Source organism: Homo sapiens, chromosome 7 (assembly GCF_000001405.40).
Source record: "Homo sapiens chromosome 7, GRCh38.p14 Primary Assembly".
NCBI classification, from domain to species: Eukaryota; Metazoa; Chordata; class Mammalia; order Primates; family Hominidae; genus Homo; species Homo sapiens.
In genome coordinates, this window is record NC_000007.14 from 5,815,670 (window position 1) to 5,841,062 (window position 25,393).

Consider the following 25,393-nt stretch of genomic DNA (forward strand, 5'->3'; position numbering starts at 1 on the left):
TATTATGCAATATATTACATATAAATAACATTTTACATTACATATATAATTTTTTTTTTCTGAGGCAGAGTCTTAACTCTGTCACCCAGGCTAGAGTGCAATGGCGCTATCTCAGCTTGCTGCAGCCTCCACCTCCTGAGTCAAGCGATTCTCCTGCCTCAGCCTCCAGAGTAGCTGGGATTATAGGCACCTGCCACCACACCCAGGTAAATTTTGTATTTTTAGTAGAGACGGGGGTTTCACCATGTTGGCCAGGCTGGTCTCGAACTCCTGATCTCAGGTGATCCACCCACCTTGGCCTCTCAAAGTGCTGAGATTACAGGTGTGAGCCACCGTGCCTGACCTATTTTATATTTATATTTTATATATCTATATTTTTATATTTTACATACAAATATATTTTATATTATAAATATATATATATTCGTTATATATAATATAAAATATCAAACCATGGAGACAATGTTAAGCATCTTCCTAGTACATGCCCCTGATAAAATGCCATTTTTCCTGTTATTTTTTTCCCAGTGGAGACGTGGAAACAGGATGGCACAGAAGACGCGGAATGAGCCAGTGCGGTTAACAAGAGGAAGCACATGAATTGGAAAGTTCAGTGAGCTCTTGTTTAGATAATAGGATCCATATATCACTAGTGATATTTTCCTTCATTCTCTTGTGATCCATAGATTCCTTCTCCCTCTCTTCCTTTCCTCCCTCCCTCTCTCTGTTGGCATTTTATTTGTAGAAAAAAGTGTAGAATTTGTTACACCCTGGATTTTGCAGATTGTCTCATTGTGGTGTCATTTGACATTTTTCTACTGCCTTGTATGTCCTGTAATTTGTTAATTAGATCAAGAGGCTTAGACTCAAGTTCTTTTTTTTTTCCAGGATTACTTATAGGTGATGTTGTATACAGCCATGTAGATGGACAGGGTGTCTGGTTTTCTTATTTTTTTCAAAAAGATGTCAGCAGTCATTGGTGATCATTACCTAAGGGTGTTTTTGTTTGTTTTTGAGATGGAGTCTCGCTCTGTCACTCCAGCTGGAGTGCAGTGGCACAATCTCAGCTCACTGCATCCTCCGCCTCCCAAGTTCAAGTGATTCTCCTGCCTCAGCCTCCCCAGTAGGTGGGACCAACGATATTAATAATCATATTGCATGTGAATGTCTTAGTATGACTTTATATGATTGATAGTAGCAGGATGATACTTTATGTTTACATTGATTTGTTACAACATACGTTTATTCTGCTTTTCAAATAAATGGAAAAAATGAACATCTATAAGCAGGGATATATATATATATATATATATATATTTTTTTTTTTTTTTTTTTTTTTTTTTTTTTGAGGCAGAGTCTCACTCTGTGGACTGCAGTGGTGCGATCTTGACTCACTGTAACCTCCGCCTCCTGGGTTCAAGCAATTCTCCTGCCTCAGCCTCCTGAGTAGCTGGGACAACAGGCATGCACCACCACGCCCCACTAACTTTTGTATTTTTATTATTTATTTATTATTTATTTTTTTTGAGATGAAGTCTTGCTCTGTCACCCAGGCTGCAGTGCAGTGGCACAATCTTGGCTCACTGTGCAACCTGTACCTCCCAGGTTCAAGCAATTCTCCTGTCTTGGCCTCCCAAGTAGGTGGGGTTACAGGTGTCTGCCACCACACTTGGCTTATTTTTCTTTGTTTTTGGTAGAGACAAGGTTTCACCATGTTGGCCAGGCTGGTTTTTGAACTCTTGACCTCAAGTGAGGTCTGCGTCAGCCTCCCAATGTGTTGGGATTACAGGCGTGAGCCACCGTGCCCAGCCAATAAGCAGGGCAATTAGAGTCCTTTGTCTCCAGCCCTATGCGGCATATCCAGGCAGCTATTACTGCTTATTATTTCTTTTCCTATCCCTAGAACAGCAAAGGTTTATCCTTTGGTGAAATGGGAGAAAATGAAAACATTAACTTCAACACTATGCGTAGTTTAACTCAGGTGGGAGGGAACTCCTGGTTAATATCACTTGTCTGTTTCACCTGTCCCCCCGGCGTTCCCTGCGTCCTATCTTTTCCCTGTGGTGGAGACCGCTGGTTATTTCCCAATATCTGTTCTCTCCTTCTAATGCAATAGAGCCTTCAATTTTTAGCTAGGAGTTGCCCTCCCAGAATGGAGACTCCATTTTCCAGCCTTCTTTGTAGATGGAGGTGGCCACGTAACTGAGATCTGTTCAATGGGATATGAGCAGAAGTGACTTGTGCCTTTTCTGAATCAAGCTCTTAAAAGAAAGGGCATTTGGGCCGGGTATGGTGGCTCATGTCTGTAATCCCAGCACTTTGTGAAGCTAAGGGGGGCAGATCACTTGAGGTCAGGAGTTCGAGTCCAGCCTGGCCAACATGGTGAAACCCTGTTTCTGCTTAAAAATACAAAAATCAGCCAGACATGGTGGCAGGTGCTTGTAATCCCAGCTACTCAGGAGGCTGAAGCAGGAGAATTGCTTGACCCCAGGAGGTGGAGGTTGCAGTGAGTGGAGATCCCACCACTGCATTCTAGACTGGGCGACAGAGCGAGACTCCATCTCAAAAAAAAAAAAAAAAAAATTGGGGTGGGGGGCATTCTGTCCCTTCCTTTTCCCCTCTTACTGCTGGCTGAAATACAGACCTGGCCATCTTGAACCATACCTGCTCTAGGGATGGTAGAGCAGTTTTTTTGTTTTGTTTTGTTTTGTTTTGAGACAGTGTCTTGCTCTGTTACCCAGACTGGAGCGCAGTGACATGATCATGGCTCGTTGTAGTGCTTTGACGTCCTAGTCTCAAGCAGTCCTCCCATCTCAGCCTCTGCAGTAGCTGGGAGTACAGGTGCATGCCAGCATGCCCGGCTAATTTTAAAAAAATTTTGATACGGAATCTTGCTCTGTCGCCCAGGCTGGAGTGCAGGGGCACGAACTCGGCTCACTGCAAGCTCCGCCTTCCAGGTTTACGCCATTTTTCTGCCTCAGCCTCCCGAGTAGCTGGGGCTATAGGCGCCTGCCACCACGCCTGACTAATTTTTTGTATTTTTATTAGAGACGGGGTTTGACCATGTTAGCCAGGATGGTCTCGATCTCCTGACCTCGTGAGCTGCCCGTCTCAGCCTCCCAAAGTGCTGGGATTACAGGCATGAGAAAAACGTTTTTTAGAGATGATGTCTTGCCATGTTGCCCAGGCTGATCTTGAACTGGGCTCAATCAATCCTCCCACTGTAGCCTCCCAAAGTGCTGGGATTACAGGTATGAACCACCAGGCCCAGCTAGAGCACTCATTTGGGAGTCTAGTTTTCTGACTTCTTTGGAGCCACATGGATTTTTTTTTATGAGAAATAATCACTGGTGATTTCTTTTTTATTTTTTTGAGATAGTCTCACTCTGTTGCCCAGGCTGGGGATTAGTGGCATGATCTTGGCTTACTGCAACTTCTACCTTCTGGGTTCAAGCAGTCCTCCTGCCTTAGCCTTCCAAGTAGCTAGGACTACAGGTGTGTACCACCACACCTGGCAAATTTTTTTTTTTTTTTTGAGACAGAATCTTGCTCTGTTGCCAGGCTGGAGTGCAGTAGTGCATTCTTGGCTCACTGCAACCTCTGCCTCCTGGGTTCAAGCGATTCTCCTGCCTCAGCCTCCCGAGTAGCTGGGACTACAGGTGCGCACCACCCTGCCCAGCTAATTTTTGCATTTTTAGTAGAGACGGGATTTCACCATGTCGGCCATGATGGTCTTGATCTCTTGACCTCAGGATCCACCTGCCTTGGCCTCCCAAAGTGCTGGGATTACAAGCATGAGCCACCACTACAGGCCATTTTTGTATTTTTTAGTAGAGACAGGGTTTTGCCATGTTGCCCAGGCTGGTCTCGAACTCCTGGCCTCAAGTGATCCGCCCACGTCAACCTTCCAAAATGCTGGGATTACAGATATGAGCCACCACGTTCGGCTTTATCAGTAATTTTTAGGGCACTTTTATTTTGGGAACTCTATTACAGCAGTTTTATCCATGTCCTAAATTACATAGTTGCATATATTTTTAGCTCTCATTTTGTAATTAGAATTACAATGTTCACCTTCCCTTTCATTTTATAGGAGTTTTCATGTTATCTTGATATTAGAAGATGATAGCTGTAAGAGTTTTATTTTCTCTCTTACTAGGGAAGAGAGGAAAAAATAATAAACAAATTTTATCTTTGGAAAAATGAACAAGTGATAGACAAATCTCTGGTGACACTAATCAATATAAAAGAGAAACATTGTTGGAAAACTCTGTAGAAATAGATCTAGGAATTTAATTTTTTTTGTGTTACTGTTTCATAGTTTCATAGCAACCATGAATTTATTGGGAAGAAAAACATTTTCAACCATTTTTTTTTTTCTTTTTTTTTTTTTTTGAGAGGGGGTCTCGATTTGTTGCTCAAGCTGGAGGGCAGTGGCGCCATCTCCGCTCACTGCAACCTCTGCCTGCTGGGTTCAAGCAATTCTCCTGCCTCAGCTTTCCTAGTAGCTGGGATTACAGATGCCTGCCACCACACCCAGCTAATTTTTGTATTTTAGTAGAGACAGGGTTTCACCATGTTGGCCAGGCTGGTCTTGAACTCCTGACCTTGTGATCTGCCCGCCTTGGCCTCTCAAAGTCCTGGGATTACAGGCATGAGCCCCCTTCCCCAGCCTATTGTTACTTTTTTTTTTTTGAGACAGGGTTTTGCTCTGTTGGTCAGGTTGGAGTGCAGTGGCGTGATCATAGCTCACTGCAGCCTCAAGCTCCCAGGTTCAAGCGATCCTCGTACCTTGGCCTCCCAAAGTGCTGGATTACAGGTGGGAGCCACTGTACTAGCCTTTGTACCATAATAAAATAAAGTCAGCCCTTCATATTTGGAGGGGATTGGTTCCAGGACACAACCCGTTTGTATTAGTTCATTCTCATACTGCTATAAAGAACTATCTGAGACTGGGTAGTTTATAAAGAAAAGAGGTCTAATTGACTCACAGTTCTGCAGCCTGTACAGGAAGCGTGGCTGGGGAGGCCTCAGGAAACTGACAGTCATGGCGGAAGGCAAAGGGGAAGCAGGAATGTCTTACATGGCCAGAGCAGGAGGAAGAGAGAGAAAGACGGGAGGTGCTGCACACTTTTAAACAACCAGCTCTCATGATAAGTCACTCACTCTCACGAGTACAGCACGAAAGGGGAAACCTACCCCCATGATCCAATCGCCTCCCACCAGATGCACCTCCAACACTGGGGATTATAATTTTTTTTTTTTTTTTTCCTGAGATGGCGTCTTGCTTTGTCGCCCAGGCTGTAGTGCAGTGGTGCAATCTCAGCTCACTGCAGCCTCTGCCTCCTGGCTTCAAGCAGTTCTCCTGCCTCATCCTCCCAGGTAGCTCGGATTACAGGCATGTACCACCATGCCCAGCTAATTTTTGTATTTTTAGTAGAGACGGGGTTTCATCATGTTGGCCAGGGTGGTCTCGAACTCCTGACCTCAGGTGATCCACCTGCCTTGGCCTCCCAAAGTGCTGGGATTACAGGCGTGAGCCACCGTGGCCAGCTGGGTATTATAATTTAACATGACCCAAACCATAATCACCCTCATACCCAAATCTGCCATACTCAAGTCCCACAGTTGGCCTTGTGGAACTGTGTACATGAAAAGTTGGGCTTCTATATGTTTGAGTTTCACATCCCTCAAATACTGTATTTTCTGAGTTCGGTTGGAAAAAACCTGCATATAAGTGGACCTTCGAAGTTCAAACCCATGGTGTTTGAGGGTCTACGTGGTGTATTTTTCCCTCACTGATCTAAAATGCAAATTTATAGAGAAATCTTGAAAAAGTAATAGGCATAACAAATATCTGAGTTAAAAATATGTCCTGATTAAAGGACAATTTGGAAAAAAAATGTATAACAAAAATGACCTAAATAGGAAGAAAGGAACAAATGACATAAAACCCCAAAAGGATTATTCCTTTTTTATATATATGTGTGTGTGTGTGTGTGTGTGTGTACACACACACACACACACACACACACACACACACACACACATATATATATATATATATATATATATATATATATATATATATATATATATATATATATTTTGAGACAGTCTTGCTCTGTCGCCCAGGCTGGAGTGCCATGGTGTGATCTCGGCTTACTGCAACCTCTGCCTCCCGGGTTCAAGTGATTCAAACAATTGTGCCTCAGCCTCCTGAGTAGCTGGGATTACAGGTGTCCACCACCATGCCCAGCTAATGTTTTTATTTATTTATTTTTATTTTTATTTTTGAGATGAAGTTTAGTTCTTTTTGCCCAGGCTGGAGTGCAATGGTGCAATCTTGGCTCACTGCAACCTCCGCCTCTTGGGTTCAAGCGATTCTCCTGCCTCAGCCTCCCAAGTAGCTCAGATTACAGGCATGCGCCACCACACCTGGCTAATTTTTTTTTTTGTATTTTTAGTAGAGACGGGGTTTCGCCATGTTGGTCAGGCTGATCTCGAACTCCCGACCTCAGGTGATTGCCCATCTTGGCCTCCCAAAGTGCTAGGATTACAGGCGTGAGCCACTGCACCTGGCCAATTTTTGTATTTTTAGTAGAGAGGGGGTTTCACCGTGTTGGTCAGGCTGGTCTCAAACTCCTGACCTCAGGTGATCCACCTAGCTTGACCTTCCAAAGTGCTGGGTTTACAGGCATGAGCCACCGCGCCCAACCCCAAAAGGATTATTCTAAAAAGAGTCTACACCCACAAGATTTGTAAATGAATCATTTTTATGGAGATGATTTCTACTGTTTATTTTGGTTTTGTTTTGTTTTTTTTTTTTTTTTTTTTTTTTGACGGAGTCACACACTGTCGCTCAGGGCTGGAGTGCAATGGTGCGATCTCGGCTCACTGCAACCTTCGCCTGCTGGGTTCACACCATTCTCCTGCCTCAGCCTCCTGAGTAGCTGGGATTAAAGGTGTACACCATGACACCGAGCTAATTTTTTGTATTTTTAGTAGAGCCAGGGTTTCACCGTGTTAGCCAGGATGGTCTCGAACTCCTGACCTCGTGATCTGCCCGCCTTAGCCTCCCGAAGTGCTGGGATTACAGGCAAGAGCCACCGCGCCTGGCCTACTGTTTATAATTCACTCTAGAACCACGCGGTAGAAACCACAGGTAGAATCTACCACAGGGTGGAAATCTACGTAGTTGAATGTGCAAAGGACTCCAATTCCTGATGTGCAAACCTGATCCAGGAAACCAGACAAAAAACCTTTTACAAAGAGACAAAATCTTTTTGTAGAAACAAAAGGAAAAGCCGGCTGGGCATGGTGTCATTCACCCCCAGCTCTGTGTCAACCAGAAGCCCGGCGCCACACCCTGCCAGCCCATGGCCACCTCCCACGTGACTGCAGCCGTGGCTGTGGCTGGAAGTGCAGGGTAGCCTAACCGGAAGCATGGCGTCGTGGGGGGTTCTGGGAGTTGTAGTCCCTGGGGGAGCTGCTTTTACGCAGTGTTTTGAGGTGCAGGACTGCAATGCCCGCACTTCCGGACCCCAGACTCTTCCTACGGCGACTGACACCTCAGACACGCGTTGTGGGGGGCGGCGCTCTGGCTCCGGGGCTGTGCCCAGCGCGAGCGTGGCCGGCACCCACTTGCTGCAGAGCCGGCACTGCACTGGGGTTCTTGGGGGCGGCTCCTCCAGACGTCTCTGCGGGTTGTCGGGTGCTGCCGAGTTGGGTTGGGGGACGCTACAGGTAGTGGGTCCGGAGCAGCGGCTGGCCCCTCATCTCACTGCCCTTCCTCGGACCCCACCGTCCTCTGGAAGCTTGTGCAGGGCACCTGCCACTGTGACCACCTGGACGCAGGTGAGCTAGGGGCTTGTTCTCTGCACAGGGGATCCCGCTCTTCCCCAAGAGTGGGTTTGTTGCCGTCCCTTCCCCTGGAGCTTCTCTGCCCATCCAGGCCCCTGAAGTCCACTACCCTGCGGTGCCTGGGTCTCTAGGGGGAAGAAGGGGGCTGTTGGGGAATGTCCCCGTCTCTTGCAGAGGGTAACCCCCTTTTTTCTCTCCTACTTGGCTCATGCAGACCCCCGATCGCAGCCAGTGGTGGGCACTGAGCTAGGAGGGAAACGAAGGCAGGGTGTGGAGGGGGGTTATTTCAGGCGTCTGGGCTCATTCAAAACATCTTCTGAGTGCCTGGGTCCGATCTGGGGGAGCACGGAGCTGGGGTCCCTTGTTGGATGCAGTCCTACAGAGGTGTTGGTCACGTTAACATGTGGGGGCGATCCAGGGGTAGCCGCCCTGTTAGTTACCTCAACTATCAGGATGCATGGACACCCAGGGGAGGGAGGATCAGTTTCAACTGGGGAAGGAGTGACTTCAGGTCAGACTTAAATAAGATGTTGCAGATGAAATGGCAATAGGGTCTTTGAGGACCAGGGAGGAGCATCCCTGAGGGGTAATGATGGGTGGTACTGAGGACTCAGCACAGGGGAGGCGCCCAGGGCCGTGAGGCTGGGGGCGGGGTGGGGGGCTGACCAGCAAGGTCCGAGGCTGGGGTCTCCCTCTTGCTCCAGCTGCAAATGCAGTACTTCAAGGCAGAGGCATGATCATATTTGGGTGTTGGTCAAAGTATCCCTGCAGGAAGTAGAGTTATGAGGGTTGGACTGAGGGTGTGAGACAATTGAGTAGGGAGACACCAGATGAAGGCGTACAGTGTGAGCACCTCTGTTGTAGACGGGTGAGGAGAAGGAGGCGGCTGCCGCAGTTCTGTGTAGACTGTTCTTTTCCAGCCCTTGGTGAAGAAAGGTGAGCAACACTTGGGGTGGTGTGATGTGATGGAGTTAGCAGAGGATGTCTGTCTTTGATGTTTTTTTTTTTTTTTTTAAGATGAAACTCACTTGAGTTGGGGAGAGAATGAAACTGGTACTATGGTTTTAAATCGTGATAGGAGCAAATGTTTTCGTGGTGGTGGTTTTTCTATCACGACTTGCACTTGGGTCTTACTGAAAGAGGTTTTTCTTTTCTTTTTTTTTTTTTTTTTTGAGACTGAGTCTCACTCTGTCGCCCAGGCTGGAGTGCAGTGGCACAATCTCAGCTCACTGCAACCTCCAACTCCCCGGTTCAAGCGAATTCTCCTGCCTCAGCCTCCTAAATAGCTGGGATTACAGGCGGGCGCCACCACGCCTGGCTGATTTTTGTATTTTTAGTAGAGACGGTTTCACCATGTTGGTCAGGCTGGTCTCGAACTCCTGACCTCGTGATCCGCCCGCCTCGGCCTCCCAAAGTGCTCGGATTACAGGCATGAGCCACCTTGCCCGGCCTGAAGGAGCTTTTCCTATGACATGTCCATAATTCTTTTTTGCTATTTTTGATTAGTAATATTGGAAGAGATCTAAATACATAGCAAAGTAAAAGAAAATGGAGCCTTTGTACTCATGATCCAAATTGAGCAGATGTCAAAAGTTTACTTCATTCTGAGCCGAATGGATGTGAAAAAAAAAGTATGCTGGGTTCAGATTTTCTTACAGAACTAAAACCTCCTAAATACTGTTGACGACCCTTTGTACTCTCCCTCACTGAGATTAAACTTAAAATTGCTATATATCTTTTATTTTGGGGGGTTGAGTCTCTTGTCGCCCAGGCTGGAGTGCAGTGGCTGGATCTGGGCTCACGGCAACCTCTGTCTCCCGAGTAGGTGGGATCACAGGCGCCCACGACCACACCTGGCTAATTTTTGTATTTTTGGTAGAGACGGGTTTCCCCATGTCGGGCAGGCTGGTGTTAAACTCCTGACCTCAAGTGATCCACCCACCTTGGCTTCCCAGAGTGCTGGGATCACAGGCGTGAGCCACTGCACCTGGCCAAAATTGATACGTGTTTTTGTTTATTTACTAGACAGGAGTGTAGCCATAAACAGTATAAGATTGCTTTGTATGTTCATCACCTTTGCCTGTATTTCCTTCAGGGTTGTCTTTTTCTTATTTTTAGCATTTTTTTCATATTTTTTAGATATAAATTCACTTTGAGTTACAGACATTGCAAAAATCTTGAGTAGAATGTAATGAATTCCTGGTGTTTCCCCGATGGCTGTATTTTTTAGGATGGATCCACTTAATGTTGAGTGGCTTATTCTGGTTTTCTGTTTGCCAGTCAATTTTAGTAATTTATATTTTCTAGGAAAGTGTCCCATTTAATTTTGAATTTATGGCAATTATTTAGAGTAATCTTATAAACCTCGACCATGGCTGGGCGCTGTGGCTCACACCTGTAATTGCAGCACTTTGGGAGGTCAAGGCGGGTGTATCACATGAGGTCAGGAGTTGGATACCAGCCGGGCCAACATGGTGAAACCCCGTGTCTACTAAAAATACCAAAAAAAAAATTAGCTGGGCAGTAGTGGCACACGCCTGTAATCCCAGCTACTCAAGAGGCAGAGGCAAGAGAATCGCGTGAGCCTGGGAGGCGGAGGTTGCAGTGAGCCGAGATCACGCCACTGCACTCTTGTCTGCGCGACAGAGTGAGACCCTATCTCAAAAAAAAAAAAAAAAAAATCAAACCTTGACCATATCTGAAATTGTCTTTTTCATGCCTTCTCTTGCTCAATTGTGCCTGGAATCTGGTCGATTTTATTAATTTTAAATACAAACCAGTTATTTTATTAGTTTTAATAAGACCTTTCCAAAAATTGATTTTTTTTCTTTTTAACTTATTACTGTAGTCCTAATATATGTGTTAAATAAAAAGAATGAAACTTAATGACATTCAGCTCAGGTGGTTAGCATAGAAAAGAGAATAGGGGCTGGGCATGGTGGCTCATGCCTGTAATCCCAGCAATTTGGGAGGCTGAGGCAGGCGGATCACGAGGTCAGGAGATCGAGACCGTCGTGGCTAACACGGTGAAACCGCATCTCTACTAAAAGTACAAAAAATTAGCCGCGTGTGGTGGCAGGCACCTGTAGTCCCAGCTACTCGGGAGGCTGAGGCAGGAGAATGGCGTGAACCCGGGAGGCAGAGCTGGCAGTGAGCCGAGATTGTGCCACTGCACTCTAGCCGGCGCGACAGAGCGAGACTCCCTCTCAAAAAAAAAAAAGAAAAAACAAGCTCAAACCCCCGAAAGTAAAAGCATATGAGGAGAAATTAAAAGGAAGAGACGAACATATACTCTGTTTTATGGAATTAAGTGTTTTCCCACTTAAAAAAATAGAGCAAGTTAAAACAAAAAAAATTTCTGCCACAACGTATCACCTGAATCTAATCATGAGACATTAAACCTAAATTGAATAATTTATTTTTTTTTTCTTTTTGAGACAGTTGCTCTGTTGCCCAGGCTGGAGTGCAGTGGTGTGATCTCGGCTCACTGCAACCTCTGCCCCCCGGGTTCAAGTGATTCTCCTGCCTAAGCCTCCCCAGTAGCTGGTATTACAGTCACCCACCACCACACCTGGCTAATTTTTGTAGTTTCAGTAGGGACAGGGTTTCACCATGTTGGCCAGGGTGGTCTTGAACTCCTAATCTCAGGTGATCCACCCGCCTTGGCCTCCCAAAGTGCTGGGATTACAGGCGTGAGCCACCACGCCTGGCCTGTTTTATTTTCTAATAGAGACAGGAGTCTCGCTATGTTGCCCAGGCTGGCCTTGAACTCCTGGGCTCAAGGGATCCTCTCACCTTGGCCTCCCTGAGTGCTGGGATTACAGGTGTGAGCCATTATGCCTGGCCCCAGTTGTTTGAATCATAGCCGAAGTACATGCAGATTTGTAGTGATTTAGAGATCTCTTGCTGTACATACCTGGGAAACTGCACCCAACATCTGCTGGCCATGTATAAGACAAACCATGTGGCTTTCAAGACCCCAAGGCTAGCTGGGCACGGTGGCTCATGCCTTTAACCCCAGCACATTGGGAGGCTGAGGCAGGCGGATCCCCTGAGGTGAGGAGTTCACGACCAGCTTGGCCAACATGGGGAAACCCCGTCTCTACAAAAATTCAAAAATTAGCTAGACATGATGGCAGGGGCCTGTAATCCCAGCTACTCGGGAGGCTGAGGCAGGTGAATTGCTTGAACCCGGGAGGCGGAGGTTGGAGATCGTGTCACTGCACTCCAGACTGGGTGACAGAGCAAGATTCCATATCAAAAAAAAAAAAAAAAAAAAAGACCCTAAGGCTCTCAGAGATACCCAGGAGCTGTCCCTGCCCCCTCTCCTTCTGGGTAATGGCCCCCATGCCACAGCCCTGGGATGGCCTCTAACCTGAGGGCCTTCCTGCCTGCACAAAGCCTCGCCCAGGTGTGTACTCTGCCACCTTGTGGTGGGACCTTTTTCATCAGCCGCCTGCATAAATGTGGTAAAATGTTAATATTTGGGAGATGTAGATGAGAAGGGTATTTGGAAATTCTTCATACTATTCTTGAGACTTTCTTTTGAGTCTCAAGTCACTCAAGTAAAAAGTTAAAAAGAAAAAGCTAAAATTACTTATTGGAAAGGATTTGTTAAAAACAAACAAAAATTTGGTTGTATTTAAAATGAATAAATTTAGACAAACTTCAGTCTGCACTGGTCGAGGGAGAATAGAAATCGGCTATTTTAGAATGGAAGAGATGATTTCAGATACAGTAGATAGATTTTTTTTTTTTTTTTTTGAGACGGAGTCTTGCTCTGTCGCCCAGGCCGGAGTGCAGTGGCGTGATCTTGGCTCCACCGCAACCTCCATCTCCCTGGTTCAAGCAATTCCCCTACCTCACCCTCTGGAGTAGCTGGGATTGCAGGCGCACGCCACCATGCCCGGCTAATTTTTTTGTATTTTTAGTAGAGATGGGGTTTCACTATGTTGGCCAGCCTGGTCTCAAACTCCTGACCTCAGGCAATCCACCCACCTCAGCCTCATGACTTCAGGCAATCCGCCTGCCTCAGCCTCCCAAAGTGCTGGGATTACAGCATGAGCCACCATGCCTGGCCTTTTGTTTGTTTGTTTGTTTTTTGAGATGGAGTCTCCCTCTGTCGCCCAGGCTGGAGTGCAGTGGCATGATCTTGGCTCACTGCAATCTCCACCTCCTGGGTTGAAGCGATTCTCCTGCCTCAGCCTCCCCGAGTAGCTGGGGCTACAGGCATGCGCCACCATGTCCAGCTAATTTTTTTTTTTGTAGTTTTAGTAGAGACAAGGTTTTACCATGTTGACGAGGCTGGTCTCAAACTCTTGACCTGAGGTGATCCACCCACCTTGGCCTCCCAAAGTGCTGGTATGACAGGTGTGAGCCACCGCACCTGGTCAGTAGATGTTTATAAAAAGTGAGATGTTACTATAAATCATTTAATGGCATAAATCTGAAATTAAGACACATTTGTAGAAAATTGTAAATTGCTAAAATTGACTGACATATACAAAACCCAAATAAACCACTTACACATGTCGCAAAAGTCTTGAAGAGAGTTTGATAAAATTCCTAAAAAACATACAGGCTTGGTATTTCTTTGGGAATACTTTTGAGTATGGATTCATTTCATATTTAGTGTATTTAGTGGTTTAAATATTTTTTTGCATTCTTTTTATTTTCTAATTTTATTTTTTGAGTCAGTGGGATCTATGGAATGTATGTATTTTTCTTTTAGTATTCAGGATTGCTTTTGATGCTTGCCTTTTTTTTTTTTTTTTTTTTTTTTTGAGATGGAGTTTCACTCTGTCACCCAGGCTGGAGTGCAGCAGTACAATCCCGGCTCACTGCAACCTCTGCCTCCTGAGTTCAAGTGATTCTCACGCCTCAGCCTCCCAAGTAGCTGGTATTACAGGCACCCACCACCACACCTGGCTAATTTTTGTATTTTTAGTAGAGACAGGGTTTTCCCCATGTTGGCCATGCTGGTCTTGAATTCCTGGCCTCAAGTGATCCACCCACCCTGGCCTCCCAAAGTGCAGGGATTATAGGCGTGAGCCACTGTGTCTGGCCAAAATTGCTATATATCTATGTTTTTGTTTATTTACTAGACAGGAGTGTAGCCATGAACAGTGTATAAGATTGCTTTGTATGTTTATCACCTTTGCCTATATTTCTTTAGGGGTTGTCTTTCTCATTTATTTTTAGCATATATTTTATATATAAATTCACTTTGTCTTATGAACACTGCAAAAATCTTGAGTAGAATGTGGTAAAATTCCTGGTGTTTCCCCAATGGCTATATTTTTTAAGATGAATCCATTTCATTTAATGTTGAGTGGTTTATTCTGGTTTTCTGTTTGTCAGTCAATTTTAGTAATTTATATTTTCTAGAAAAGTATCCCATTTAATTTTGAATTTATGGCAATTGTTTATACTGATCTTACAATTATAAACCTCGACCGTATCTGAAATTGTCTTTTTCATGTGCACAAATGGTTTATCTTTGCCTTCTCTTACTCAATTGTGCCTGGCTTCCGGTCAATTTTATTAATCTTAAATACAAACCAATTACTTTATTAGGTTTAATCAAACCTTTCCAAGAATTGATTTTAGTTTTTTCTTTTTAATGTATTATTAAAGTCCTAATACCTTTTTTTTTTTTTTTTTTTTTTTTTTTTTGAGATGGAGTCTCGCTCTGTCGCGCAGGCTGGAGTGCAGTGGCATGATCTCGGCTCACTGCAAGCTCCGCCTTCCGGGTTCATGCCATTCTCCTGCCTCAGCCTCCCGCATAGCTGGGATTGCCAGTGCCTGCCACCAAGCCTGGCTAATTTTTGTGTGTGTGTGTGTGTGTGTGTTTTTAGTAGAGACTAGGTTTCACCATGTTAGCCAGGATGGTCTCGATCTCCTGACCTCATGATCCGCCCACCTCGGACTCCCAAAGTGCTGGGATTACAGGAGTGAGCCACTGCACCCGGCTAGTCCTAATACATATGTTAAATACAAGGAGTGAAACTTAATGACATTTAGCTCAGGTGGCTTCCACAGAAAAAAGAATAGGGAGCATCTACCCCCATTGTCCAGTCTGTGTCTTCCAGAAAAAGATATTTAAAAAAGAGAAAAAAAGAGCAAAACCCCAAAGGTAAAAGAGAATGAGCAGAAATTTAAAAAGAAGGGAGGAAGATGGCCAGGCGCGGGGGCTCACGCCTGCAATCCCAGCACTTCGGGAGGCCGAGGCAGCAAGATCACCTGAGGTCAGGAGTTCAAGACCAGCGTGGCCAACATAGTGAAACCCCATCTCTACTAAAAATACAAAAATTAGCTGGGCGTAGTGGCACGTGCCTGTAATTCCAGCTACTTGGGAGGCTGAGGCAGGAGAATCACTTGAACCCAGGAGGTGGAGGTTGCAGTGAGCTGAGATCACGCCACTGCACTGCAGCCTGGGTGACACTGTCTCAAAAAAAGAAAAAAATCTTTTACTGTGATGGAAGATGTATTGGTTTCTCTTCCTTTTGTCTTTTTGGTTTTGGATTTTGTGTTCGTTTGCAGCGCATCTCCGTGACATACACTTGCTGATGCTGACCTGAGATGGAATTAATATCTGTTTGTTGCTGAGATGGAATTAATATCTGTTTGTTGCTTTGCTTCTTTTCAGTGGGTTGTTTTTTCCGTTTCCATCTCTGGCTAGTCTTGAAGGCTAGACTTGCGTAGGAGAGCAGACACGAGGACATGAGCCAGTTCTGCTGAGCTGTTACTGTGTAAGGAGCAGGGAGCGCTGGAGGGTGGTTGAACCGTGTCCAGCCAGGAGTTGAGTGGGCGGTGGGCTGGTCACCATGGTTACCGCAGTGGGCCACTAGCTTCACAATTCCGTAGCATCGCTTTGTGCTGCGAATGGGACCTTCCGCTCTTGATCCCCTCCTTGTGTTGACGGCTGCTGCTTGCATCTCCAGGCCTGTGGGTGGAGGGGTTCTCTTTGTCTTCTCAGTCCAGGGTGGGCCCTGGGTCTCTGAGTCACAGTGATCCTGTCCCTCCCCTCGTGTCAGGAGACCTTTAAGCCTGAGCCCAGGATATATTCCTGTCCCTGGTTCAAGGAGGAAGGCACAAGGTCTTGCCTGTGTTCTGGTGGCAACAGGGTTGACTGCCATTCCCCTGGCAGCTTGAGGCTTTTGTTCCTCAGAAGAGAAAGTTCGGGAGGGGGCTTCGCATGTTTCCCTCCACGGCAGCCGCATCCCTCCTCCAGACCTTCACTCCCAAGGAAGTCTCTCTGGTCTTCTGCCCAGCCCCGATCTTTCTCGTGAGCACCCAGAGAGCATTTGTATTAATCAGTTTATTTTTATGTTTGTTTTTTTTGATATGGAATCTCGCTCTTACCCAGGCTGGAGTGCAGTGGTGTGATCTCGGCTCACTGCAGCCTCCACCCCCTGGGTTCAAGCAATTCTCCTGCCTCAGTCTCCTGAGTAGCTGGGATTACAGGCATGCACCACCACACCCAGCTAATTTTGGTATTTTTAGTAGAGACAGGGTTTTGCCATGTTAGCCAGGCTGGTCTCGAACTCCTGACCTCAAGTGATCCACTCACCTTGGCCTCCCAAAGTGCTGGGATTACAGGCTTGAGCCACTGTGCCTGGCCCAGAATTTTTTCTTTATAGATGTATGTTTACAAACTTATTACATGTGCTGTAGTTTGTAGTCGATGTATACAGACAAGAAACAGGCCAGGCACAGTGATGCATGCTTGTAATCCCAGCACTTTGGGAGGCCAAGGCGGGAGGATCTCTTGAGGCCAGGAGTTCGAGACCAGCCTGAGCAACATAGCGGGACCCTGACTCTACAAAAAGCATATATATATATATATGTTTTGAGTTTTTAGACGGAGTCTCACTCTGTTGCCCAGGCTGGAGTATAGTGGCGCAATCACAGCTCACTGCCACCTCCACCTCCGAGGCTCAAGCGATTCTCCTGCCTCAGCCTCCCAAGTAGCTAGGATTACAGGGACAAGTCACAGGAAGCCAAGATTGTGCCGTACCACTGCACTCTAGCCTGGGCAACAGAGCCAGACCCCATCCCCCAAAAAGTTTTCTTATCATTTTTTGGGGGGATGCAAGCTCGCTTTGTTGCCCAGGCTGGAGTGCAGTGGTACAGCACAATCTCGGCTCCCTGTGATCTCTGCCTCCCAAGTTCAAGAGATTCTCCTGCCTCAGCCTCTTGAGTAGCTGGGATTACAGGCATGTGCCACCACACCTGGCTGATTTTTGTATTTTAGTAGAGATGGGGTTTCACCATATTGGCCAAGCGGGTCTTGAACTCCTGACCTTAGGTGATGCACCTGCCTCGGCCTCCCAAAGTGTGGTGATTACAGGCGTGAGCCTCTGCATCTGGCCTGTTTCTTCAGAATAGATTTCTAATAATTACATTTTTGGGTAATGGGTGGGGATTGTAGTAAATTGCACATTGGTTACTGAGACATAGATACACATATTCATTAAGAAAAACTCCAGTCAGTCGTGGTGGTTCACCCCTGTAATCCCAAGGTTTTGGGAGGCTGAGATGGGCAGATTGCTTGAACCCAGGAGTTTGAGACCAGCCTGTGCAATACAGTGAGACCGCCTTCTCTACCAAAAAATTTAAAAATTAGCTGGGCGTGTGACACACCTATAGTCCCAGCTTCTCGGGAGGCTGAGGTGGGAGGATCGCTGGAGCCTGGGAGTCCAGGGCTGCATTGAGTTCTGATTGCATCGCTGCATTCCAGCCTGGGTGACAGAGTGAAACCCTGTCTCAAAAAACAAAACAAAAATCCAAGTCAGGCCTCATGAGATTGAGTCCCTATGACATTTCCAAGGTGAGGGCTTTGCTCTGATAATGGGGATCCTTCAGAGAAGGCTTTCTCCCACCTGTGCCCGCGAGGCGGGGGGTGGGGGTGGTCTCAGCAGTTGATCGGGAGCCCACGGGCAAGCGTGGCCTCTCATATCCTCTCTCCCCACTCTGATGTCTGCCTTCACAGATACCTGCTTTCCCACAACAGCAAGGAAGAACCATGGCCCAGGTGAGTGTGGCATTTCTTTCTACTGCACTTTTTCAGCAGGGATTTTGGATGCTCATAAGAACATGACTAATAAAGGCTGGGTGTGGTGGCTCACACTGGTAATCCCAGCACTGTGGGAAGCCAAAGCGGGTGGATCACTTGAGGTCAGGAGTTTGAGACCAACCTGGCCAATGTGGTGAAACCTTGTCTCTACTAAAAATACAAAATTAGATGGGTGTGGTGGTGGGTGCCTGTAATCCCAGCTACTTGGGAGGCTGAGGCAGGAGAACCACTTGAACCTGGGAGGTGGAGATTGCAGTGAGCTGAGATCATACCACTGCACTTCAGCCTGGGTGACAGAGTGAGACTCTGTCTCAAAAAAAAAAAAAAAATCTGATAAAATGCAAACAGAAGTCAGGATCAGTGAAAACAGGAAGAGAATGGAAGGTCACGGCTGTGGGAAGGACAGGGTGGAGAGACTGTAGAGGCTGCTGCAGTTGTGAGATGCCTTGTAAATTCTTTTTTGAGACAGAGTCTGGCTCTATCATCTAGGCTGGAGTGCAGTGGCATAATCTCGGCCCACTGCAACCTCTGCCTCCTGGGTTCAAGCAATTCTCCTGCCTCAGCCTCCTTACAGGCACCTGCTTACAGGCACCTGCTACCACACACAGCTAATTTTTGTATTTTTAGTAAAGATGAGGTTTCACCACGTTGGCCAGGCTGGTCTCAAACTCCTGGCTTCAAGTGATCTGCCCACCTCGGCCTCCCAAAGTACTGGGATTACAGGCGTGAGCCACTGTGCCCAGCCCGATGCCTTGTAAATTTATATCTGACATTCCTGTCACTTAAAAAAGGCAGGCAGATTCCATCTAATATATGACTTGTGTTGTCTGTTTTGGACAACCGTGTCTAATTCTCGGGGGGAATACAGCTCTTTCAAGATTTAAAGATGTATTTGATCTTTGTATGTAAGATGTGGCAGACCCGTTCCTCAATAACAACCACCTTGAAAGAAACACAACAGGAAATCTCTTGTGACTTTTCTTCCTCTCTGTATAAACAGCAGATATTATGCCAAAGCAGCCGTCTGTGATTCTGGTTGTTTGGGGATGCCGAACACTCAGGTCTACAGAGACAGCCTTGTGTGGTGCCAAGTGACCTGGATGTAACACTGCATTATCTAGAGGAACGAATGAATGAACTGCGTGTTCTTGAAACAGCCTGCCATGTGTACCGCCACACCACCCTGAACGTGCCTGATCTTGTCTGAAATTGCTTGCCATAATGGGTTTTATTTTTTTAATTAAAAAATTTTTTTGAGATGGAGTCTTGCTCTGTCGCCCAGGCTGGAGTGCAGTGGCACTATCTTGGTTCACTGCAATCTCTGCCTCCCGGGTTCAAGTGATTCTCCTGCCTCAGCCTCCGGAGTAGCTGGGAATATAGGCATGTGCCACCATGCCCGACTAATTTTTGTATTTTTAGAGATGGAGTTTCATCATATTAGCCAAGCTGGTCTCGAACTCCTGACCTCAGGTGATCCGCCCACTTGGCTGTTAGCTCTCTTTGCATGTGAGTGACATCAGTGTTTTCCATCAGCCTGGAAGCATTCTCCTCCTCCTGCTCTGAACCCCGGGTTCTAGGAATGTGTGAGTGTGGAGTGCACTGGTTAGAAGTTCTAATCCTTGAAGTTGGAAGAGCCAGAAATCCAACTAGAAGTAGGTTAGGATTAAAAAAAAAAAAAGTAATTCTAGAACTTTGGGAAGGTGAGGCAGGAGGATTGCTTGAGGCCAGGAGTTCAAGACCAGCCTGGGTAATGTGGCAAGAGCCCATCTCTACAAAAAATAGAAAAATTATCCAGGTGTAGTGGCACATGCCTGTACTCCCAGCTGCAGGGGAGGCTAAGGTGGGAGGATCACTTGAGCCTAGGAGGTCCAGGCTGCAATGAGCTGTGATCGTGCCTTTGGACTCTAGCCTGGGCAACAGAGGGAGAGCCTGTCTCAAAAAAAAAAAAAAAAAAAATCTATAAGGCAGCATGCGAGTCCTGGGAAGAGCAGGTGTGCAGTCAGGCTCCAGAGGCATCCGGCAAACCAGGTATCGCCAGGAATCTTTCTTCCCTGGTCTGTGCTTCTGTGACTTTTTTTTTTTTTTTTTTTTTGAGACGGAGTCGCGCTCTGTTGCCCAGGCTGGAGTGCAGCGGCGCAATCTCAGCTCACTGCAAGCTCCCCCTCCCGGGTTCACACCATTCTCCTGCCTCAGCCTCCCCAGTAGCTGGGACTATAGGCACCCGCCACCACGCCTGGCTAATTTTTTCTATTTTTAGTAGAGATGGGGTTTCATCATGTTAGCCAGGATGGTCTCAATCTCCTGACCTTGTGATCCGCTCACCTCAGCCTCCCAAAGTGCTGGGATTACAGGCATGAGCCACTGCACCCGGCGCTTCTGTGACTTTCTTCTCATGCTGACTTTGTCAGTGTGCCCAGAAATAGTGTAGCCCCAGCTCCTCTCCTCACAGCTGCAAGTTCTGCCACGGTGAGGGACTGAATCTCCCTTCAGTGATCCAATTTTGAAAGCTTTTCGGGGAGGATTCTGTTGGTCCAGCCTAGCTCAGGTGTATTAGGCCCTCTGACCAGGCAGCTGTGCACAGGGGCAGGAAGGGGCTGGTCCCAGAGGAAGATGAGGCCTCGTGAACATTACCACTGTCCACTCCAGGAAGGAAAACGTTCACAGAGCCTGGGTTTCTTTGTGCTTTGTGAAGCCAGGGATGTCTAGGTGTTTCACACCAGAAATGTCTCAGAGCAGTAGGAGAGGCTACAACAAGGTGGCGAGCCACACCCACCCTGTCTGTGAAGCTGGAGGTTTCCCTTGTTGTCTTTGTCGGAAGCCACTGTTTTTTGTTTTTTGTTTTTTGGAGAGTGAGTCTCGCTGTGTCACTCAGGCTGGAGTGCAGTGGCGCGATCTCAGCTCCCTGCAACCTCTGCCTCCCGGGTTCACGTCATGCTCCTGCCTCAGCCTCCTGAAAAGCTGGGAGTACAGGCGCCCGCCACCACGCCCAGCTAACTTTTTTGTATTTTTAGTAGAGATGGGGTTTCACCGTGTTAGCCAGGATGGTCTGGATCTTCTGACCTCGTGATCCACCCGCCTCGGCCTCCCAAAGTGCTGGGAGTACAGGCGTGAGCCACCGCGCCCGGCCAGAAGCCACTGTTTTGTAGAAAGCCGAGTCCCACTGGGAATGACTCCCTGTTAGGGGAATCTGTACTAAAGATGACAATGACTGGGTTAAATGCTGTCTGTCCAGCACTCCGTGGTCTCTCTGCTTTTCATATGTTATATCATGAATAAACCCATGAGAGGCATATCTATAGAAATTATATATTTACATGGAAATTTTATGTTTATATAGAAATTAGATATGAATAAATTACATAGAAATTAAGACATTATGTAGACATTGTATGTGTATGTATAAAAACTACATAGACTGTCTATATATATACTAGACATGTATGTAAACTACATAGACTATATATATATATATATATATATATATATATATAATGTATATACATATACATACACTACATAGACTCGTGATAGCTCACGCTTGTAATTCCAGAACTTTGGGAGGCTGAGGTAGGCGGACCACCTGAGGTCAGGAGTTCGAGACCAGCCTGGCCACATGGTGAAACCCGTTTCTACTAAAAATACATAAATTAGCTGGGTGTGTGCCTGTAATCTGAGGTACTCAGGTGGCTGAGGCAGGAGAATCACTTGAACCCAGGAGGCGGAGGTTGCAGTGAGCCGATATTGTACATTGCACTCCAGCCTGGGCAACACAGTGAGACCCTATCTCAAAAAAAAAGTCACTGGCTTCAGCAGCCTTTAGCCCTTGGTCATAAGTTTTTCTAGAGATCAGAGTGTGGTCTGGAAGAGAACCCAGGCTCTGTAGGGTGATTGGGGCTCTGGGCTTCTTTGTGGATTGCCTCTCCCCACTCCCACATAGCTCCCGGTCCCTGCTGCTGCCCCCGGGCTGTGCCCTGCTTGTTGCCCCTCCTCTGCACGCGCTTGTCTCACCACTGGGGACAATTTGGGTCGCCCATTTGCCTATGAACATCCGTCATCACCCCAGCAGCATGTGTCCAGGGGGCCCACCACAGCTCTTTATACCCAGCATCCCCCCTTGACCTCTGCCACAGTGATGAAAGCCCCCCGACTCTCACATACTTTTTTTTTTTTTTTTTTTTTTTTTTTTGAGACAGACTCTTGCTCTGTCACCCAGGCTGGAGTGCAGTGGCACGATCTCGGCTCACTGTAAGCTCCGCCTCCTGGGTTCAAGTGTTTCTCCTGCCTCCCGAGTAGCTGGGATTACAGGTGCCTGGCACCATGCCCAGCTAATTTTTTTTTTTTTTGTATGTTTAGTAGAGATGGGGTTTTACCATGTTGGCCAGGCTGGTCTTGAACTCTTGCCCTCAAGTGATCCACCTGCCTCGGCTTCCCAAAGTGCTGGGATTACAGACGTGAGCCACCCTGTCTGATCTCCTTCAAATTATTTAAACTTTGATTAAACAACATAGTGAGACCCCAACTCTACAAAAAATTTAAATAAAACCAGCTGGCCTATGCCTGTAATCCCAGCTACTCGGGAGGCTGAGGCGAGAGGATCACTTAAACCCAGGAGGTAGAGGCTGCAGCGAGCCATGATCACACCACTGCACTCCAGCCTGGACAGAGAGAGACCCTGTCCCAAAAAGAGAAGATCTAAGGCCAGGGGCAGTGGCTCACACCTGTAATCCCAGCACTTTGGGAGGCTGAGACAGGTGGATCACCTGAGGTCAGGAGTTCGAGACCAGCCTGACCAACGTGGAGAAACCCTGTCTCTACTAAAAATACAAAATTAGCCAGGTGTGGTGGCACAAGCCTGTAATCCCAGCTACTCAGGAGGCTGAGGCAAGAGAATTGCTTGAACCCAGCAGGCAGAGGTTGCGGTGAGCCAAGGTGGCACCATTGCACTCCAGCCTGCGTGACAAGAGTGGAACACCCTCTCCAAAATAGAAAATCTCTCTTTCTCTCTATATATATCTCTATATAATATATAAATAGATAATATCTATATGTTATATATATATTTTATATACATCCTCATATTTTCTAATAGGTATAAATTGAAGATGTTTAAATGGGGGTCTTTAATTCATTGAGAGAGGGGATGGGATGGGTGAAGGAGGCCAAGCCCTGTTCTGCATCTGTGGAACCCCTTCTCTGCATTTCTCTTGCTGTTTTAATTTTGAGCACTAGCTTACATTGAGGATTAGAATCATGTGATAATTTAGCTCCTGCTATCCTCCCTTCCGGTGGCTCCCACCTTTTTTCCACATCAGATCATCTGTAGTTCCCCTCCGTAAATACCGTGAGGTGGGAGTCTGCATTTCCTACAGGGAAAAAAAAAATCACTTCTACCCGTGGCTGGTACGCTCTCTCCCTCTCCCACACACGCCTTACACCCGGCATTTTCATTCTCTTTGTAGTTTCTACGAGACTTTTCTGTGCCTCCTTTGCCCATGCCAGGCCTCTTGCTAGGAATATCCTTCAGACATCAGATCATTCTGTTTATCTTTCGTGATTCTACTCCCCTGTGATCTCCTAGGAAGCTTCACTTGACAGTACGTTGGATCTGGCTGCTGTCTTCCTCGTGCCCATTCTGTATGTAACTACATGTCTACCACCGCCTATAGTGTAATCTTACGGTACAGCTGTCTTCCTGTGTTCATCTGGCAGCAACACTCCTAACTACCTTCAGAACAGGAACAATTTTGTGTTCAGCCCTCGACCCCAAGCGCCTGGTAGAACACCAGCAGTGTGCGAGGTCCCTGAAAGACACTTGATCATTGAAGGAATGAATGGAGATCCAGTAGTGAGATTTATTTATTTATTTTTGAGATGGAGTCTCACTCTGTTGTACAGCCTGGGGTGCAAGGGCGGGATCTCAGCTCACTGCAAGCTACGCCTCCTGGGTTGAAGCAATTCTCCTGCCTGAGCCTCCCTGGTAGCTGGGATTACAGGCACCCACCAGCACGTCCATCTAATATATTTTTTGTAGAGATGGGGTTTCACCATGTTGGCCACGCTGGTCTCAAACTCCTAACCTCAAGCAATCCACCTGTCTCAGCCCCTCAAAGTGCTGGGATTACAGGCGTGAGCCACTGCACCCGGTTGATATTTTTTCTAACAATTTTTTTTTTCTCTTCCACAAAGTGTAGTACAAAGTTAGGGGTGTGCTCAGCTTTCTATGTAACCTAATATGGGGAAAGCTGACCTCGGAAGGGGGTAAGATCAATCTCCTCTACGCCTTTGCCATGGTACCCAGTGCCAACCACTCCACATTAATCAGCCATGTGCTGTTCCAGGGGTCACTGTCATTCGGGGACGTGGCTGTGGGCTTCACCCGGAAAGAGTGGCAGCAGCTGGACCTGGAGCAGAGGACCCTGTACCAGGATGTGATGCTGGAGAACTACAGCCACCTGCTCTCTGTGGGTGAGGAAGACTTCCCCGTGGTCCTCGGGTTACATGAACTCTTTTTCTTAGTTGTATAAAACTGGGAAACTGCTCACGCACTGAAAGTGCTAAGCTGGGCATGGTGGCTCATGCCTGTGATCCCAGCACTTCAGGAGGCCGAGGTGGGAGGATTGCTTGAGCCACAGGTGCAAGACCCGATCTATACAAACGAAAAATAAAAAATTAGCCAGGCATGGTGGCATGTGCCTGCAGTCCCAGCTACTTGCGAGTCTCAAATGGAAGGATCCCTTGAGGCCCAAGTTCAAGACTTGCCTGGGCAACATGGCAAAACCCCATCTCTACCAAAACATTAAAAAATTAGTTGAGGGTGGTGATGCCTGCCTGTAGTCCCAGCTACTCGGGAGGCTGAGATGGGAGGATCACTTGAGTGCAGGAGGTTGAGGCTGCAGTGAGCTGTGATTGTGCCACTTCACTCCAGCCTGGGCAACAGAGCAAGACCCTGTGTGAAAAATAAAAGTGCTTGGCCTTGGGTTTCAGTGGTCAGAGTCTCGATCCCACTTGGAGTCCTCGTGAAGTTACCTGCCAAGCGAAACAGCTCTCTGTGGCTGAGATGTCCACCTTTTGTTTTGCAGGCTGAACTGTCTGCTTGCTTGGAAGGCCCAGCTGGCTCAGCACAAATCCTTTAACCGTTTCTCCCCAAGAGGGTGTCAAGTCAGCAAACCAGCTGTGATCTCCAGTTTGGAGCAGGGGAAGGAGCCATGGATGGAGGAGGAAGAGATAAGGACGTGGAGCTTCCCAGGTGAGCAGGTGGCCTGCAGGGGGCCGGGGGATGAGGCTCCTGGAAGTCTGCAAAGCAGAACCCATGGATGTTGTCTTGTTTTGTTTTTTGAGATGGAGTCTCGCTCAGTTGCCCAGGCTGGAGTGCAGTGGTGCGATGTCAGCTCATTGCAACCTCCACCTCCCAGGTTCAAGCCATTCTCCTGCCTCAGCCTCCTGAGTAGCAGG

The 25,393-nt window shown here is 47.0% G+C and overlaps 1 pseudogene across 1 annotated transcript in view, besides 2 other annotated features; it reads left to right on the forward strand.

Annotated features, from left to right (window-relative positions):
* Positions 7,080 to 7,359: an enhancer, noted in NCBI's record as "active region_25612". NCBI's record gives its function as "activates an Ori minimal core promoter by ATAC-STARR-seq in GM12878 lymphoblastoid cells {active_cell/tissue: GM12878}" and the evidence as "EXISTENCE:reporter gene assay evidence [ECO:0000049][PMID:35858748]".
* ZNF815P (zinc finger protein 815, pseudogene) overlaps positions 7,491 to 25,393 on the forward strand; it is a 31,276-nt pseudogene continuing 13,373 nt past the window's right edge. The window contains 4 exon segments of the transcript NR_023382.1: positions 7,491 to 7,857; positions 17,858 to 17,899; positions 24,280 to 24,406; positions 25,021 to 25,187. The product of NR_023382.1 is annotated as a zinc finger protein 815, pseudogene (transcript).
* Positions 15,751 to 16,251: an enhancer, noted in NCBI's record as "H3K4me1 hESC enhancer chr7:5871051-5871551 (GRCh37/hg19 assembly coordinates)". NCBI's record gives its function as "activates a minimal SCP1, AML or CMV promoter by ChIP-STARR-seq in naive H9 embryonic stem cells {active_cell/tissue: H9 hESC(naive)}" and the evidence as "EXISTENCE:reporter gene assay evidence [ECO:0000049][PMID:30033119]".